The sequence below is a fragment of the Homo sapiens genome, chromosome 4 (genome assembly GCF_000001405.40).
Source record: "Homo sapiens chromosome 4, GRCh38.p14 Primary Assembly".
In the NCBI taxonomy this organism is placed as follows: Eukaryota; Metazoa; Chordata; class Mammalia; order Primates; family Hominidae; genus Homo; species Homo sapiens.
In genome coordinates this window covers 47711295-47726512 of record NC_000004.12, presented here as the reverse complement: position 1 = coordinate 47726512, position 15218 = coordinate 47711295, and the positions used below count along the sequence as shown (strand labels likewise).

At 37.3% G+C, this 15218-nt stretch overlaps 1 protein-coding gene across 3 annotated transcripts in view, besides 1 other annotated feature; it reads left to right on the top strand.

Moving 5' to 3' along the window:
• The window catches only part of CORIN (corin, serine peptidase), a 244067-nt gene that overhangs the window by 111555 nt on the left and 117294 nt on the right, over positions 1–15218 (top strand). The window lies entirely within an intron of this gene.
• Positions 8872–9450: an enhancer, noted in NCBI's record as "OCT4-NANOG hESC enhancer chr4:47719080-47719658 (GRCh37/hg19 assembly coordinates)". NCBI's record gives its function as "activates a minimal SCP1, AML or CMV promoter by ChIP-STARR-seq in naive H9 embryonic stem cells {active_cell/tissue: H9 hESC(naive)}" and the evidence as "EXISTENCE:reporter gene assay evidence [ECO:0000049][PMID:30033119]".

Sequence of the window (15218 nt, the reverse complement as noted above, 5' to 3'; positions counted from 1 at the left end):
TCTCCACATCTCTGGTTTGGCTTTTCTAGAATGTCACACATGGAATCATACAGTATATTCCCTTTTGAAACCTGTTTCTTTCACTTACGATAATGCCTTTAATATTCATCCATGTTGTTACATGTATCAGTGGTTATTTTTAATGCTTACTAGTATTCCATTGTATGGCTGTACCTCAATTTGTTTATTTGCTCATTGAAAGGAATTTGATTGTTTCCAGTTTTTTGGTAATTGTGAAAATTACTGCTATAAACATTCACTTACAGTTTTTATAGGCAAATTTCTCTAAGATGAATACCTAGATTGGTATCTGTCAACAGTTTTTCCAGAGTGGCTGTATCATTTTGCATACCCATCAATAACAATGTATGCAACTTCCAGTTGCTTCACATCTTCACCAGTACTTGGTATTGTCAGATTGACTTTTGTTGTTTCTGTTTTGACCACTCTAATAGGTGTGTAGAAGCATCTCACTGTGGTTAAATTTGCCTAATGATGAATATCTTTTAATATGCTTACTTGCCATCGGAATATCACCTTTATGAAGTGTCTGTTCGTATCTTTTGCTCATTTTATGGCAGGAGTGGGGGGTTGTTTGATGTTGTTTGATTTCTTACTGTTGGGTTTTGAGAGTTCTTTATATATTCTGGGTACAAGTCTTTTGTTCAATATATGATTTGGGAATATTTTCCCACTCTCTGTACCTTGTCTTTTCATTCTCTTCACAGTGTCTTTCACAGAACAAATGATTTTATTTACCAATTTTTTAATGCAACATACTTTTGTATCATATAAGAACTATTTACTTATCTCAACTGCATAAAGATTTTCCTTCATAATTTCTCCCAAGACTTTTTCAGTTTTCATTTTATATGACCTGCATTGAGTTACTTTTTGCCTAAGGTATAAGGTATAGGTCAAGTGGTATTTTTTTCCTTTTCCAAATGGATGTCCATTTGTTCCAGACACATTTGTTAAAAGGCCTATATTTCTCCTATTAAATTGCTTTTGCACCTCCATCAAAAATTAATTGACCTTATTCTCGTGGGTCTATTTCTGGACTGTTCATTCTGTTTCATTAATTTATGTGCTCATTCCTTAACCAAACCACATTGTTTTGATTAGTATGGCTTGATATTAAGACTTAACAAAGAATAGTATGAGTTTTTCCACTGTGTTATGTCTCAACATTTATTTTTCAGTTGTAGTTCTTTGCCTTTCTATGTAAGTGTTAGAATTAGCTTGTCTATGTCTACAAAAAAAAAAGTGTTCCAAAAATCTTGATTGGATTTGTATTAAAGCTGTGGATCAATTTGGGGAGACTTGGCATCTTAAACATATTAAGTCTTTCAAACCATGAACTTGGTTTATCATTTATTTAGGTCTTTCTTGATTCTTCTATTGGCATTTATAATTTGCTCATATAGGTCTTGCACGTATTTTGTTAGATACTTTGAGAGCTATTGTAAAAGGTACTAATTTTAAAACATTGAGTTCCCATTGTTCATTGCTAGTTATGGTAAACATTGTTCTAAGATGGTTCCTAGGGTTCCAGTTCTGTGGTTCACTCACCCTGTATAATCCCCTCACCTCTGAATGTGGGGATGAACTGAATATGATGTTGCAGTCACTCCTATAATTAGATTATGTTATTTGGCACAGCTGACTTTAAGAAAGGTAGAATATCCTCAGTAGACCTAATCAGGTAATCCCATAAACTAAATCTCATTTTCTAGGAGTTTTTATTATGAAAGATGTTGAATTTTATCAAATGCTTTTTCTGTATGAGTTGGCATGATCACGTAGTTTTTCTTTAGCTTATTAATGTAGAGATTACATTTATTACTTTTTGACTGTTACATTAGCCTTGCATTCCTGAATAAATTCCAGTCATTTGATTATTTTGATTTTATTTTCTTAGTTTATCTTATCTGGGTTCTGTTGAGATTCTTGAGTTCCAAAAAAATTCCAAAGATTTAGGTTCTTGAGTCTAAATTTATATCTTTCTTTTGATTTAGAAAACTTCAGCCATTAAATTTTCAAACTTTTCTTCTGTACAAATCTCATTCTCCTTCCTTTCCTTCCTATATTTTTAATGACATCAATATTGGACCTTTTGATAATATACAGCAGGTACCTGAAGTTATGTTCGTTTTTTGAAAACTTTTCTCTTTTGTTCATATTAGATAATATCTATTAATTTAGCTATAAGTTCACTTACTCTGTCTTGTCATCTTCACTCTGCAATTTCAGTGTCTTTTAAAAATATTTTAGTTATTTTATTTTTCAGTTCTGAGCTTCCATAGCTGCTATTTCTTTACTGATAACTTCTATCCTTCATTCACTTCAAATTTGTTGACCCTTACTTCATGGAGTATGGTTATTACAGCTGCTTTAAAGTAAGTCTTTGTTCAATAATTTCAACATCTAGGTCACTTCAGGGGTGGTGCCTATTAATTATCTTTTCACTTAGGGGTTGCTGAGAATGCCCTGCTTCTTTTTTTTTTTTTTTTTTTTGAGATGGAGTCTCACTCTGTCGTCCAGGCTGGAGTGCTGTGGCGCGATCTCAGCTCATTGCAAGCTCCCTCTTCCAGGTTCACGCCGTTCTCCTGCCTCAGCCTCCCTAGTAGGTGGGACTACAGGCGCCCACCACCATGCCTGGCTAATTTTTTGTATTTTTAGTAGAGACAGGGTTTCACCGTGTTAGCCAGGATGGTCTCGATTTCCTGACCTTGTGATCCTGACCTCGGCCTCCCAAAGTGCTGGGATTACAGGCATGAGCCACCGTGCCTGGCCTTGCCCTGCTTCTTTGTATGTTAATTAATTTTAACTTATATCCTGGGCATTTTGAAAATATTATGATATTCTGGGTCCTGTTAGAATTCTCTGGAAAATGCTAATTTTGTTTGTGTGTTTGTTTCTTTTCATAGTCAGTTGACCCAGTTAAGTTCCGGTCACAAGTCACATTATGCCTTCTAAGGGCTTTGTTTCCAATGTCAGTTCAGTTTTCAAAGCCTTTGTAGTGCTCTCTGGATCCTCCCCATGAGTGTATTTCCCAGGGATCAGTCTGATATCTGGGCCATGGATTACATTGTTGCTTACTTCTCAAAGCTTTTGGTATTCTATTTCAAATCATTTTCATGCATGGAGACCTGAGGGATAAACCCAGGCAGGACTTTATACATAGCTCTGTGGGATCTTTCATCTCAAGCTCCCTCTTCTCTGTGATCTCCCTGAAACTCTCTGACTTCCAGGGACCATTTGCCCTGGTCCTCTGTCAAAAAAGCTCTAGTTTTAGCCTTTTGCACTGTTGCAGCCAACTCTGGGGCAAATAGGCAACCTTGGCTGCTGCTGCCACTGTTGCATGAGTACAGCTTCCATGAGCACAGCTTCTAGGGCCCCCTCCAAGGGACGGTCAGGAGAAGAGATGTCTCAGGGGACTCCCCGTCCTTTGGTTTTGCAGGGCCCCTCCTGCTTATTCGTCTGACCAAGGAGAGAGTTTCTCTTGGTCAAGACTGCTGCACAGTTCCATGATTTTGTTGCATTCATTCTATGTTGGGAAATATGAGTAGAAAAAGAAAAACACCAGAAAGCTCACCTCCTTATTACTCTTTCTTTAAGTTTTTATTTCCCTTCCTAGTCCGCTTACTGGTCTTTACTGTTTGGATACCACAGACAATTGCTTTGTGTATTCTGTCCACAACATTTAGTTACAATCACAGGGGGAGGTAAGGTGGGACATTTTTACTCCATTTTAACTGGACCTAGAATCTTAGAATCCCACGTTTCACTTCAAATTTTAAGATACGTATTTCGGTAGACAGATGGACAGACAAAATAAAATAAGTTTGTTGCCTGAAATGAGCCTCTGGTCCTCTGCTTTCGGGGTTTATTTGTGCTCTTTTAACTTTGTCCTTCAAATATTTTCCTTCAGGAACAATATCTTCTCTGACAACATTTGGAGAATGAGGAGGCAGGATAGCAAGATGGAAGATATTTTAAATTGTCTATGTGTTTGGAACTCCAGATGTTTTATACCCAGGAGCATGTGCCATAGCAGGTTTGAAATGTTTAAAAAGTGCCTTTCTTTTGTCAGATGAAAAAAAGGAACATTGCGAAAAGGGCGGTAAGAAAGGACGTTATCCTGCATGTGCCCTCAGATAGGCAATGATAGAAAAGAGGAAATTTAAGGGTGTGGAAATTGATTCCTTTAAAACTATCTCTGCCTGTAATATACCCTTGGAAAGCCCTTGTATATCTCTAAGGAAACACCTTCCACAGTTAGAAGATGGCTGTTGTAGGATTAAGCAGACCTGGCTATTATCCTGGTTCCACTTCTCCAGTGATAACTTATGTGTGAAAACAGGCAAACATTGGATGAAAATGGAACGTGAGTGATGGGAATACATGTACTCATATGCAAGTGATTGCATCAGTATGTGTGATGAATACTAAGCTCAGAAAAATGCTGAAATTGTGAAGACGGAATAGCTAAATGTTAGAAGCTGGTGGGGTCTGTGGAAATAGTGTTTGGATTAAAGATTTGTAGAATAAAAAATCAATTAATTTTAAGCCATGCTGCACTCTGGTGAATATGGTTAAGGTAGTAACAGAATAAAACAAACAAAATGAAGAAACGATGGCCAGACTTTGCAATTCAAATAATGGTGTTTTCCTAATAGTGTTTAATAATAACAGTGTTATCATAATAGTATGTATCTTGCTGAGCATTTATTATGTACTAAGTGCTGTGCTAAGCCCTTTAGATACATGTTCTTATTTACTCCTCCCAGCAGCACTGTGAGGATTATGGTTATTCTTCCTGTGATGAACTGCGTGTTTGCATCCCCCACCCACAAATTTACATGCTGAAACCGTAACCCCAAGAGGATGGTATTAGAAGGTGGAGACTTTGGGAGATAATTAGGTTTAGATGAGGTTATGGGCTGGGTGCAGTGGCTCACGCCTGTAATCCCAGCATTTTGGGAGGCCAAGGCGGGCAGATCACCTGAGGTCAGGAGTTCGAGACCAGCCTGGCCAACATGGCAAAACCCCATCTCTTCTAAAAATACAAAAATTAACTGGTGTGGTGACACACACCTGTAATCACAGCTACTTGGGTGTCTGAGGCAGGAGAATCACTTGAACCCAGGAGGTGGAGGTTGCAGTGAGCTGAGATCGCACCATTGCACTCTAGCCTGGGTGACAGAGCAAGACTCCGTCTCAAAAAAAAAAAAAGAAAAAATGAGGTTATGGGGGTGGAGCCCCCATGATGGGATTAGAAGTGCTCCTAGAAGAAGAGTAAGAGATAGAGCGCTCTTGTGTGCTCTCTCTCTCTCTCTCTCTGTCTGTACATGCATCAAGAGAGGCCACGTGAGGACTAAACCGGGAAGAGGGCCCTCACTAAGAATGCCACTGTGCACCCTGATCCTGGACTTCCACCTTCCAGAACTATGAAAAATAAATGTTTCTTGTTTAAGCCACCCCATCTGTGGTAGTCTGTTTTAGCAGCCTGAATGGACTGAGGCACTTCCCATTTTATAGATGACAGAACTGATAGGGAGATTAAGTGATTTGCTCAAGATCATAGAGGTGGAACTTGACTGAGCTGTGATCTGAACCCCTTTGAATCTGGGCCTGTTAGTGTTTCAAAGACCTAGGACTTCACTGTCATAAACATAGTGTACACATCTTAAAAGGAGTAAAAAGGATTTCTGTGTACATTTAGCTTAATAGCATTCAAAGTTGGAATCAAATGGTGGTTCTGTATGCAAAACTACTTATTTAAAAATCATCTCTTGCAGGCACTTAATAGCATAAATTAAAGGTAGACCTATAGCATTCAGCCCACGAAAGAAGGGATGAGTTCATCTCATACAAGAAGTAGATGTGTAGGGATAGCTCTATGTAGATGTATATAAAAATAGCACATGATTGCATATAAAAGCAAATACTATTCACTAACCTTATAATTTGTGATGGATAACCAATAGTTATCTGCATGTACCCCACTCTTTTTCCTGGGAATGTTCCTATTTTTCTTTTCATGGTTGGCAGTTTGAATAAATCTCAACACAGTACCAAAAAAAAGTGGTTATTTAGTTTAGAACTGCGAATATTGACCTGGAGAAAAAGAAATTTAGAGGTTTGGTCTCAGTCATCTTGAACAAGATGTATGAAATATATGGCTTAATCTTGGCTAAGACTTTGCACTGAAAATAAGTCCACCTGTTGGATGACTTCTAATTGAAGAAAACATGTAGTGTTCAGATCTGCCCAGTACAGAATAAGTAGTGATAAAAATAAAAGAGCCTCAAAATATTTTTATTTCATGAAGTCTTTTGTTTTGCAAGTCAAACACAGATGCAGGCATGAATGTACTTTCCTTTTATTTATTTGTAGCACATTTTATGCTATTTTTATGAAGCAAAGCAATGCAAGTTGATTTGACTATAGACACAAAGTAAAAGGCAGGCCACATACTTTCTAGCAAGAATGCACATATGTCCTTTAGACCCCTATACTACTACAACCGATTCAAATAAAAACGTTTTAAATGAAAAGTGAGGCTAACCACTCAAAAGTCGTGGGCAACATATGACAGGTTACTTCTGTCCACCAAATAGCATATAGAATATTTGAAAAAATTTTCTGAAAATGTTTTCTGAAATTGCCTAACATGCCCAGTGAGTGGCCCCACGGGATCTGACTTTTTACTCCATAGGATATTATGAAATATTATTCTTTTCAGTTGCTAAGCTGTTTCCAATTTTCTCCACGCACATTTCAGAAGACCCCTTGCTGAGTATAACTTGAATAGAGGGTTTTTACAGATTTTTACAAAGTCTGAAGACTGAAAAACTTCTTGTTTAGCTATGAAACTCAACAGCCAGAGGACTAACATTTGAACATTGTAACAAAACACATGATGTCTTGTTGTTCTGATAGAAAACAAAACTGCATTATATGGTTTAATATTCTTATTTATAAGAAGAAATTATTAGAAACATTTAAGTAAAGGAGAATAATTTGTATGTTGTTCCTGTTTTGTGAGAATGCAGCTTAAAGCATCCAGTCCTTCATATAGCAGATGGTTATGGAGCGGTAACTATGCACTATTCATTTATATAACAAATATGTACGGAGAGCCTGCTATGTGCTGGGGATTGTTTTAGTCACTGGGGTTGAGGAACAAATAAGGCAAAATCCCTGTTCTCAAGGACTCACATATGGAGAATTTGGTGGTTCACTGGGAAGAGCAAAAGGTAGAAGGAAGGATGACCACCAGGTGGTTGGTTGGGAAAAGGTGAAACATGTTTGTCATACTACTTGCCAAAGTAGAGACCACAAGGAATAGAAAAGTTTATGATAAAGAATAATTTGGAGATGTAAATTTCCTGGCATATCAGTTGGTTGCAGGTCCCTGAAATTCAGGAGAGAGGCTTGAGCTGCAGAGACAAGAGCTTGGGAGTTATTCATGTATGTGTTGGGCTAAAATCAAAGGAGTGAATGAGCTCATGGAGGGGGCATGTGAAGTGCAAAGCAAAAAGTCAAGAAGAAAGAGGACAAATATCTCAGAGCATTTAAAAGGGCAGGTTGCAAAAGCAGTTCTGATGACAACTGTCCTCCCTTGGGACCCATAGGAGTTGTGGGTAATGACTCAACAGACTCATCTTTTAACTACAACACGGACTAAGGAATAGACATCTTCTGCTTTAGTACTTTTCCTTCCTCGCTCATGTTTTTCCTCTGTAGTGTTGACTAGGAAACAGGCCAGCAACCTGTTGAATTCAGAATTGGAAGGGAGTTGCATGAATTCAGGAAAACTGAAAAACAGTGGGATTCATTGTATTTGATAGGAAGATAGAAAAGGCATATAAATATTGTTTAGTCTAAAAATTAAATTTTCTAGTTTAAAGCTCACGTTAGGTTACAATGACAACTGTCATCTGCTAAAATCAAGGTTCTTATAGTAATAACAATGACAATAATCATAGCTAACTTTTATTGCACGCATGCTGGATGCCAATGACTGCTAAGTGGTTTACATACCCTGTCTCATTTAATTTTCCTTACTACCTAATAGTTACATAATTATTATCCTTATTTTACAGATGAAGAAACTAGGGCTCATCATTTCAGGATATTCTCTGACAAGATAACCTTGATACTCAATGTATTTTTGAATGAGAGAATGTATAAAGGTGCTCTTAGCAATGAAGAAAATAGGGTCATTGAATTAATCCAACCTTTCACATGGTAACTGGGAGTTTCATTGGAATTAGTGTTGGGAGCAACAGAATAAGTAGGCTAATCCTAATGTTTATTGGAGGAAAGAAAATAGACTTTTGGAAACGAAGTCTAATGAGATAGTGCTTTGTGTTGCTAATGTTGTGTGTCCATTTCAGCACTTGGCACATAGTCAGATGGCTTGTGTTCTGCCTGGCAGGAAGAACTCTGGTGACTTGTATTCCTACTGGGAATACTGTGCCCATTTGCTTCCCAGTTTCCCCTCCCTCCTGTATCCATCTCTGTTCCTCCTTCTCACCTCTCGTTGCCAGTTTATCACTTCGGTGGTGTGATATGGGGTTGTGTGTGTCTTTGTTCATCTTGTATCTAGTGCTTAACATTCCCACTATCTTCTGCTTCTGTCATGGTCCCTAAAGCAATATCAATGGACATTCCTACAACCTGCAATCATAAAATATACTACAGTGCCTCTCTTTTTTTCGGTCTTTAAATGTAATACAGATACTTTTCTTTCATTCTGTGCTATGCCCTTTAGAGGTCTAACAGATTGAACATGAAAGACTAAAATACTTGAGAAATTTGATGCAGGGGGCCTGGTCCTATCTAATAATCTCTTTTGTACAGAGCAAATAGCATTAGATTTAAAAATATAAAGAAGCAAACAAAAGCAGTTGGATATTTAACCTAATAAGTTGAGGTTGAATCCCATTTCAGGGGCGAAGTCACTGTTGAATGTGGTCTGAGCCAGTGTTGGAAGTGTAAGAAAAAGGATGGATGAAGGATTGGGGACGGTGAATCAAAGGGCTGAATGAAGGATTTCTTGGCTGGAAGAATACAGACTGGTTACAGAGGAAATGAAAGCTGAGAAAACTAGAGGAGGTCTTTGAAGCTGAGATCCCGGGAGTCTGCATTTGATAAGAACAATAGAGAAGCCACAGTGGGGGCAGGGGTGACCTGGTCAAAGCTGTGGGTGAGAGAAAACAATTTTTACCAATTGGTAAAATTGAGTGTGTACTGGTTCGTATACGTGAGTTGTCTATTAGATCCATGTGGTTGCTTGAAAAAGCCTGGAGGATGTTACATTGGAAAATAAAAGAGAAAAAACTGTGGTTCTGAGATTTTTGAGTTTTAACATAAAAAGTGACTTTTCCTTTAAAGAAATTAAATATAATTTCTCTTGTTCAAGGGTAGGTATTTTTTTGGATCCTGCCAATTGAACTTTTAAAAATATGCTTTAGTTCTAATTTTCATAGTATTCTTTCTATAGAAATTTTGTTTGTAACATTAGTTACAACTAACAGGTATTTCTCTACTTTCCATTGTAATGAATGTGGTATATACATGTCTTCCAACAGTATTTTTTTTAGTTAACATGTTATTTTTAACAGTATGAAAGTGGCTTCATTTTTATTGACTTTTTACTAATATTTATAAAGTGTCAACATTATTATGTGATAGTTGAAGCTGTCTTTTTAAAAGTTGATGCACAGAAATAAAATGCCTATGATCTATATTGAAGAAATGAAAATTTTCTTGTAGCTGGATTTAGCTATAAATTTTAAAAGCATTCTAAGTGAACATATACAAGTAGAAAAAGTCATCTATATATATTATATATTTGAACAACATTATTCTGTGTGCTTTAATATTGTATTGGATCGTTATATAATCCTTTAAATATTAAGTGAAAAATTTCCTTTACTATGTAAATAGAAAAGTTAAAAACAGACAATGATACTGTGATATTAAAGAAACAGCTTTTATTGTGTCCTGACAGAGGGCAAGGGTGTTTACACGGTTTTTTGCTAACACCATCAGAGAGCCCTTTGAGTTGCAGAAGTTGTATACACAAAACTTTCATAGTTATCACTCAATCTCTCATTCATTGGTATAGCTTTATTTTATGCCCTTTTTTCTTCCAAAAATCATTCAGTGAAACCAAAGCTGAGGTGTGTGAAAGCCCAAGGAGAAATCAAATATTGGAAGATCATAGTTGTTTGCACTAAGCACTGAATACTCTGAATGTGTCATTGTGTAAACAGAACAGATGTTGGGAGCAAGTTGGTACAATGTAATGAACCCAATTCCAATCATAGATCATCCTGTTACTCTTTAGTGCCTCCAAGGTAGATGTTCAAAAGTAAACAACCAATTTACTACTAGGGAGCAACACAAGTGTTAGGGAAAATAGAGTACTACATTTAGTTCAATTGAGTATGTCAAATTACAATTTGAACAGCTCCCTTAAAATTCAGAGGTTGAAAATTCTTCTACTTCCCTTTCTCTTAGGGAGGAAACCTCACGCCAAACAGATGCAAAGTTTAGACTCTCTCAAAGCCTCTCTAGAGGAAGCTTGAACACTATTCCTTTGCCAACCCGTTCCAATATGTCATACTTCTTAGGAACAAGAAATTTATCTCTGCCTCATATTGCAGCATAGGTATTTCTTCACATTCATCCTCAGTGGAAAGGAAAAAGCATTTGGTCACCTTCCTCCATGAGATCTTTCTTTATGTGTCTGAAGAATATTATGACGATTATGATCATGGGACCAATGTTATCAGGAGGTCCTGACACAAACCAGAAAGACACATTTTTGGAGGTGTTCTTATTTCTGGTAGATTATTCCTGGTTCCAATATCATGCTCCCCCCCTTTTTTTTTGGAGACAGAGTCTTGCTCTTTCACCCAGGATGGAGTGCTGTGGCACGATCTCAGCTCACCTCCGTCTCCTGGATTCAAGCAATTCTCAGGCCTCAGCCTCCCGAGTAGCTGGGACTACAGGCATCTGCCACCACACGGCTAATTTTTTGTATTTTAGTAGAGACGAGGTTTCGCCATGTTGCCCAGGGTGGGTCTTAAACTCCTGAGCTTAGGCAATCCGCCTGCCTCTGCCTCCCAAAATGCTAGGATTACAGATGTGAGCCACTGGGCCTGGCCCCAACATCATGCTCTTTGATTCTGACTTTAAGGATGATCTCTTGGAGAGATAGGTTCTAATGTAAAAGTACTACTTGGATAGATAAGACATGTTTTCAGTTGTAATCAGTAAATTTTGATGGCAGTATTTACTTATTTCTTTAGGTTAGAACACTTTTATCTTTTCCATAGTATTTTCTGTTTTAGTTTTTGCTTCATTGTATGTGTACTACTATTTTAGTTCTCTTCACTGTTATTATTTAGCCAAGATAATTTTGAATTCCAATTCTTTGAGTCTCCTCCTGCTTTCTTAGAGCTTCTTTTTTAGATTATCCTAATTGCTACTAAGTAATAAAATAATCTTGAGGTCAAGATTTGTGTTTATTAAACACTATTTTAAGATGTTAGTCATAATAGCAACATTTAAGTCTCATTCTTCTGAGTTCTTTCATTGTCACACAGCTTTTCTAGTGCACTGGCGATAGAAAGCAGAAAGATGTGTTGATTTGGAATTATGTCCATCATGTTTCCTCTAGCTAAAAAATCTGTTAACTTCTTCTGGATCAGGGGTCAGCAAACTATAGCCTGTGAGCCAAAGACAGCCTGCAGCCTGTTTTTCTGAATAAAATATTGAAACACAACCACACTCATTCTCTTACATATTGCCTATGGCTGCTTTTGCTCCACATTGGTGTAGTTGAACAGTTGTAACAGAAACTGTATGCATCACAAAGTCTAACAATTTACTATCTGGCCCTTTACAGAAAATGTTTGTCAGTCTCTGTTCTAGGTTAACTCTGAATTGGACATTAGAAAATCGTAGTTCCAGTTCTACCTCTAGTTTCTAATTAGCTTTATGACATTGGCCAAGTCATGTTTACTCTCCAGCATTGGTTTCCTCATTTCTGGGATTGGAAGCAGGACTGTGTGATTGATTGCCAGTCTCTTCTAGCTGTAAAATTCCAGAAATCTAATGAATCTTATTTTACCTAAAATAATCTAAAGTAGATTTTTTTTCTTACAGATTAAATTTTCGGTTTGTGTTAATCACTTGTGAGTATATTAGACATACATAGAAATGTCCATACATATTCAAAGATATAAAAATAATACTAAAGTTTGTCTACGTAAGCTCTATATGTGCCAAGTATAAAGGCAGGCACAATACTGTATTTCTTTTAATCTTTAAAATAACTCTGCATTGTGGGTGTGTATGTTCACTTTTTAAAGAGTAAGGTGTTGAGACTCAGAGACAGCTGGTAAGAGGCAGAGCTGGTGCTTGAACCCAGTTCCATTGGTAAAACCCCGTGCCCTTTCCACTATAGCAACTGTCTCCTTTCATGAGGTACCTCTATTTTAATTCAGTCATTTGAATATATGGCCACACCTCACTTCTCCAGAGATTGCTACCCAAATTACTCAGAATATAAGTAATTATTAAAAAGCAAAAAAACAAAAGTGGTTATGATCTAAATAGATGTTCATTTATGCCATTAAAAAAAAAGATTCCCTGAGGCCCTCTTTTGGAGCTTGTTCACTTTTATTTAAAAAAAAACATTAAAAATTTGCTTTTTTGGGTTTCCTAGATCTCTGTAATTACTGGGAAATAGATTGGAAATGTGGAGGGGTACAGTTACTGGTGCAGGGATATGGGCACTGGTAGAGATCGGGACTGCTGTGATTACATCGTGGAGAAGAGCGACACACTCTAAATAGCAAGAAAGTCTTAGGCAGGTTAGCACGGGGACAAATTCACCCCAGGAGCCTCCACGCAGGGCTGAGAAGTTTTTGCTGTTCACCAAAAGTACCCTGGAGCATTAAGAAAGTGGTTAAAATTAACACACTACATTTCAGAAAGTAGAGAACAGGTTTCCCTTTAACAGAATTTTAATAAAATCATGAAAGAATTTACAACTCTTAAGTAGATAAGCTTCAGTTGTTTGAATGTTTCCCTGCATGGGATATTTTCTTCCTTAAAAATGCTGAGTGGATGAAATACTGCCAAGTCTAGGTTATTTAAGAAATCTTTCCCCAGATGTTCAACTACTTCTTACTTTTCTGTTGTTTGTTACTGTCTTATTCATTATTCACGTTCTGATGACAATGCTCTAGAAATAAATAAGCAATTAACAATCTGACTTCTTGGCTTCATCTCTTGGCAGATTTTTCTCCACACCTAATTAAGTCTTAAGATTTTTCCATTATCTCTTTTTATTCCCTATAGCTTTGAAGAAAGTTTTATTGTTTTCTTTCTATTCTTCTAATTTTTTTCAGAGTAGAAGCCCATTTTTCCTCTCAGTTTTTAAAAACTGCCTTACCCTGATCTATGCGTATTATCTACTATAAAGTTAATCCTGTAAAAGCAAAACTTATTTCTTCTATTGTCTTTCGGGGAAACCTTACAGTGATCTCCAGAATGAATCATGCCCACTCTCCACTTTTGGCAGCTCTTCCTTTTATGTTTCTCTCATGTACTGAATTCTTGGTTTCTTCTTTCTGATGCACATTTCTTTCCTTGGTGATTTCTTAACCCATTACTTCTAATTGACTAGTTTGAGTAATATTTTAACACCTCATGTATTTTTGAGGTAATATTTTATGCAGTTTGTTTTGAAAAGACTTGCTAAAACTTCTTGTGGAAACTAAGAGATTTGTAAACATTTAAGTAATTTATCTCTTATCCCTCTCTGTGTGGCAGCCAGGGGAGGAAGGATTGTTTCCCCAAGCCTGTTGCCATATACTTCCTTAAAATAAATGATGTCAGCCGGGTGCAGTGGCTCACTCCTGAAATCATAGCACTTTGGGAGGCCAAGGAGAGTGGACTGTTTGAGCCCAGGAGTTCAAGACCAGCCTGGGCAACATGGGGAAACCCTGTCTCTACAAAAAATACAAAAATTAACCAGGCATGGTGATGCACACCTGTAGTCCTAACTACTTGGGAAACTGAGGCAGGAGGATCACTTGAGCCTGGGAGGCAGAGTTTGCAGTGAGTGGAGAGTGTCCCACTTAACTCCAGGCTGGGCTACAGAGCATGATCCTGTCTCAAAATAAAAATAATTAAATGATGTCAATATATATGACATTATATTATCATATATATCATGATAATGTGTCATATTATGACTATATTATGTTAATTATGACTATATTATGATGCCGGTTTAATAATGTCAGTAATAATAAAAAGATCAAATTGATTGAAAGCTCATTTGGTATCAGATGCTATGCTTAATTGTTAACATATATTATCTCAATTAATCTTCACTACAGTTCTATGATGTAGGTACAGAATTCCAGGAAGATTTCAGCTAATAAATTGGCTGCATTTCAAAGTTATATTTACAAATTGGTTATTTCAGATATGAAAGCTGCTTTCTCGTAGTAGCAATGTTGTAGGTACAGCCCTAGGCTGGACTGGATTGCTGAAGTCTGTCACGTTTATAGCTAACGTGAGTAAATGAATGCCTTTGTGGGAAAGTGCTTTCAGAGTTCTCATTGTGATGTGAAGAACCCACCCACCTTCTTCCCAGGGACCTTACTCTCATACCAGGGGCTTGACCTTATTTTCAGACCTGCTCAATGAATAGATCAACAATGGGAATGAACCCTCTCCAGATTCAAATTATGCAAATACTAAGCTGCCATAACAATAGAGATCCCAAAATAGAGTGGCTTAAATAAAACTTTTTTTTCTCTGTTAAGCAAGAGATCCAAGGTGAGCTTTTCAGTTTGCCAAGTCAGGCTTACCCCATGAAATTATCCAAAGACTTGGGCTCCATCTATTTCTTGCTTCACCAATCCCTAGACTATGGTCTTCACCTGTGTGGTTGCAGCTGGCTGAGCCCTGTATCTGTGTTCCAGCTTGTGGAATGGTACAGAGAGGAAGTACATGGCAGCACGTCTCTTTGAAGGAGGTGAAGTAGAAGAATGACTTGCTCCCATTCTGTTGGAGAGACCTTAGTAACATGGCTGCACCTATCACAAAGGGAACTGGGAAATGTAGTCTTTGGCTGGGTACATGGAGGCATCTTAAACTCCATTACTGTGAAA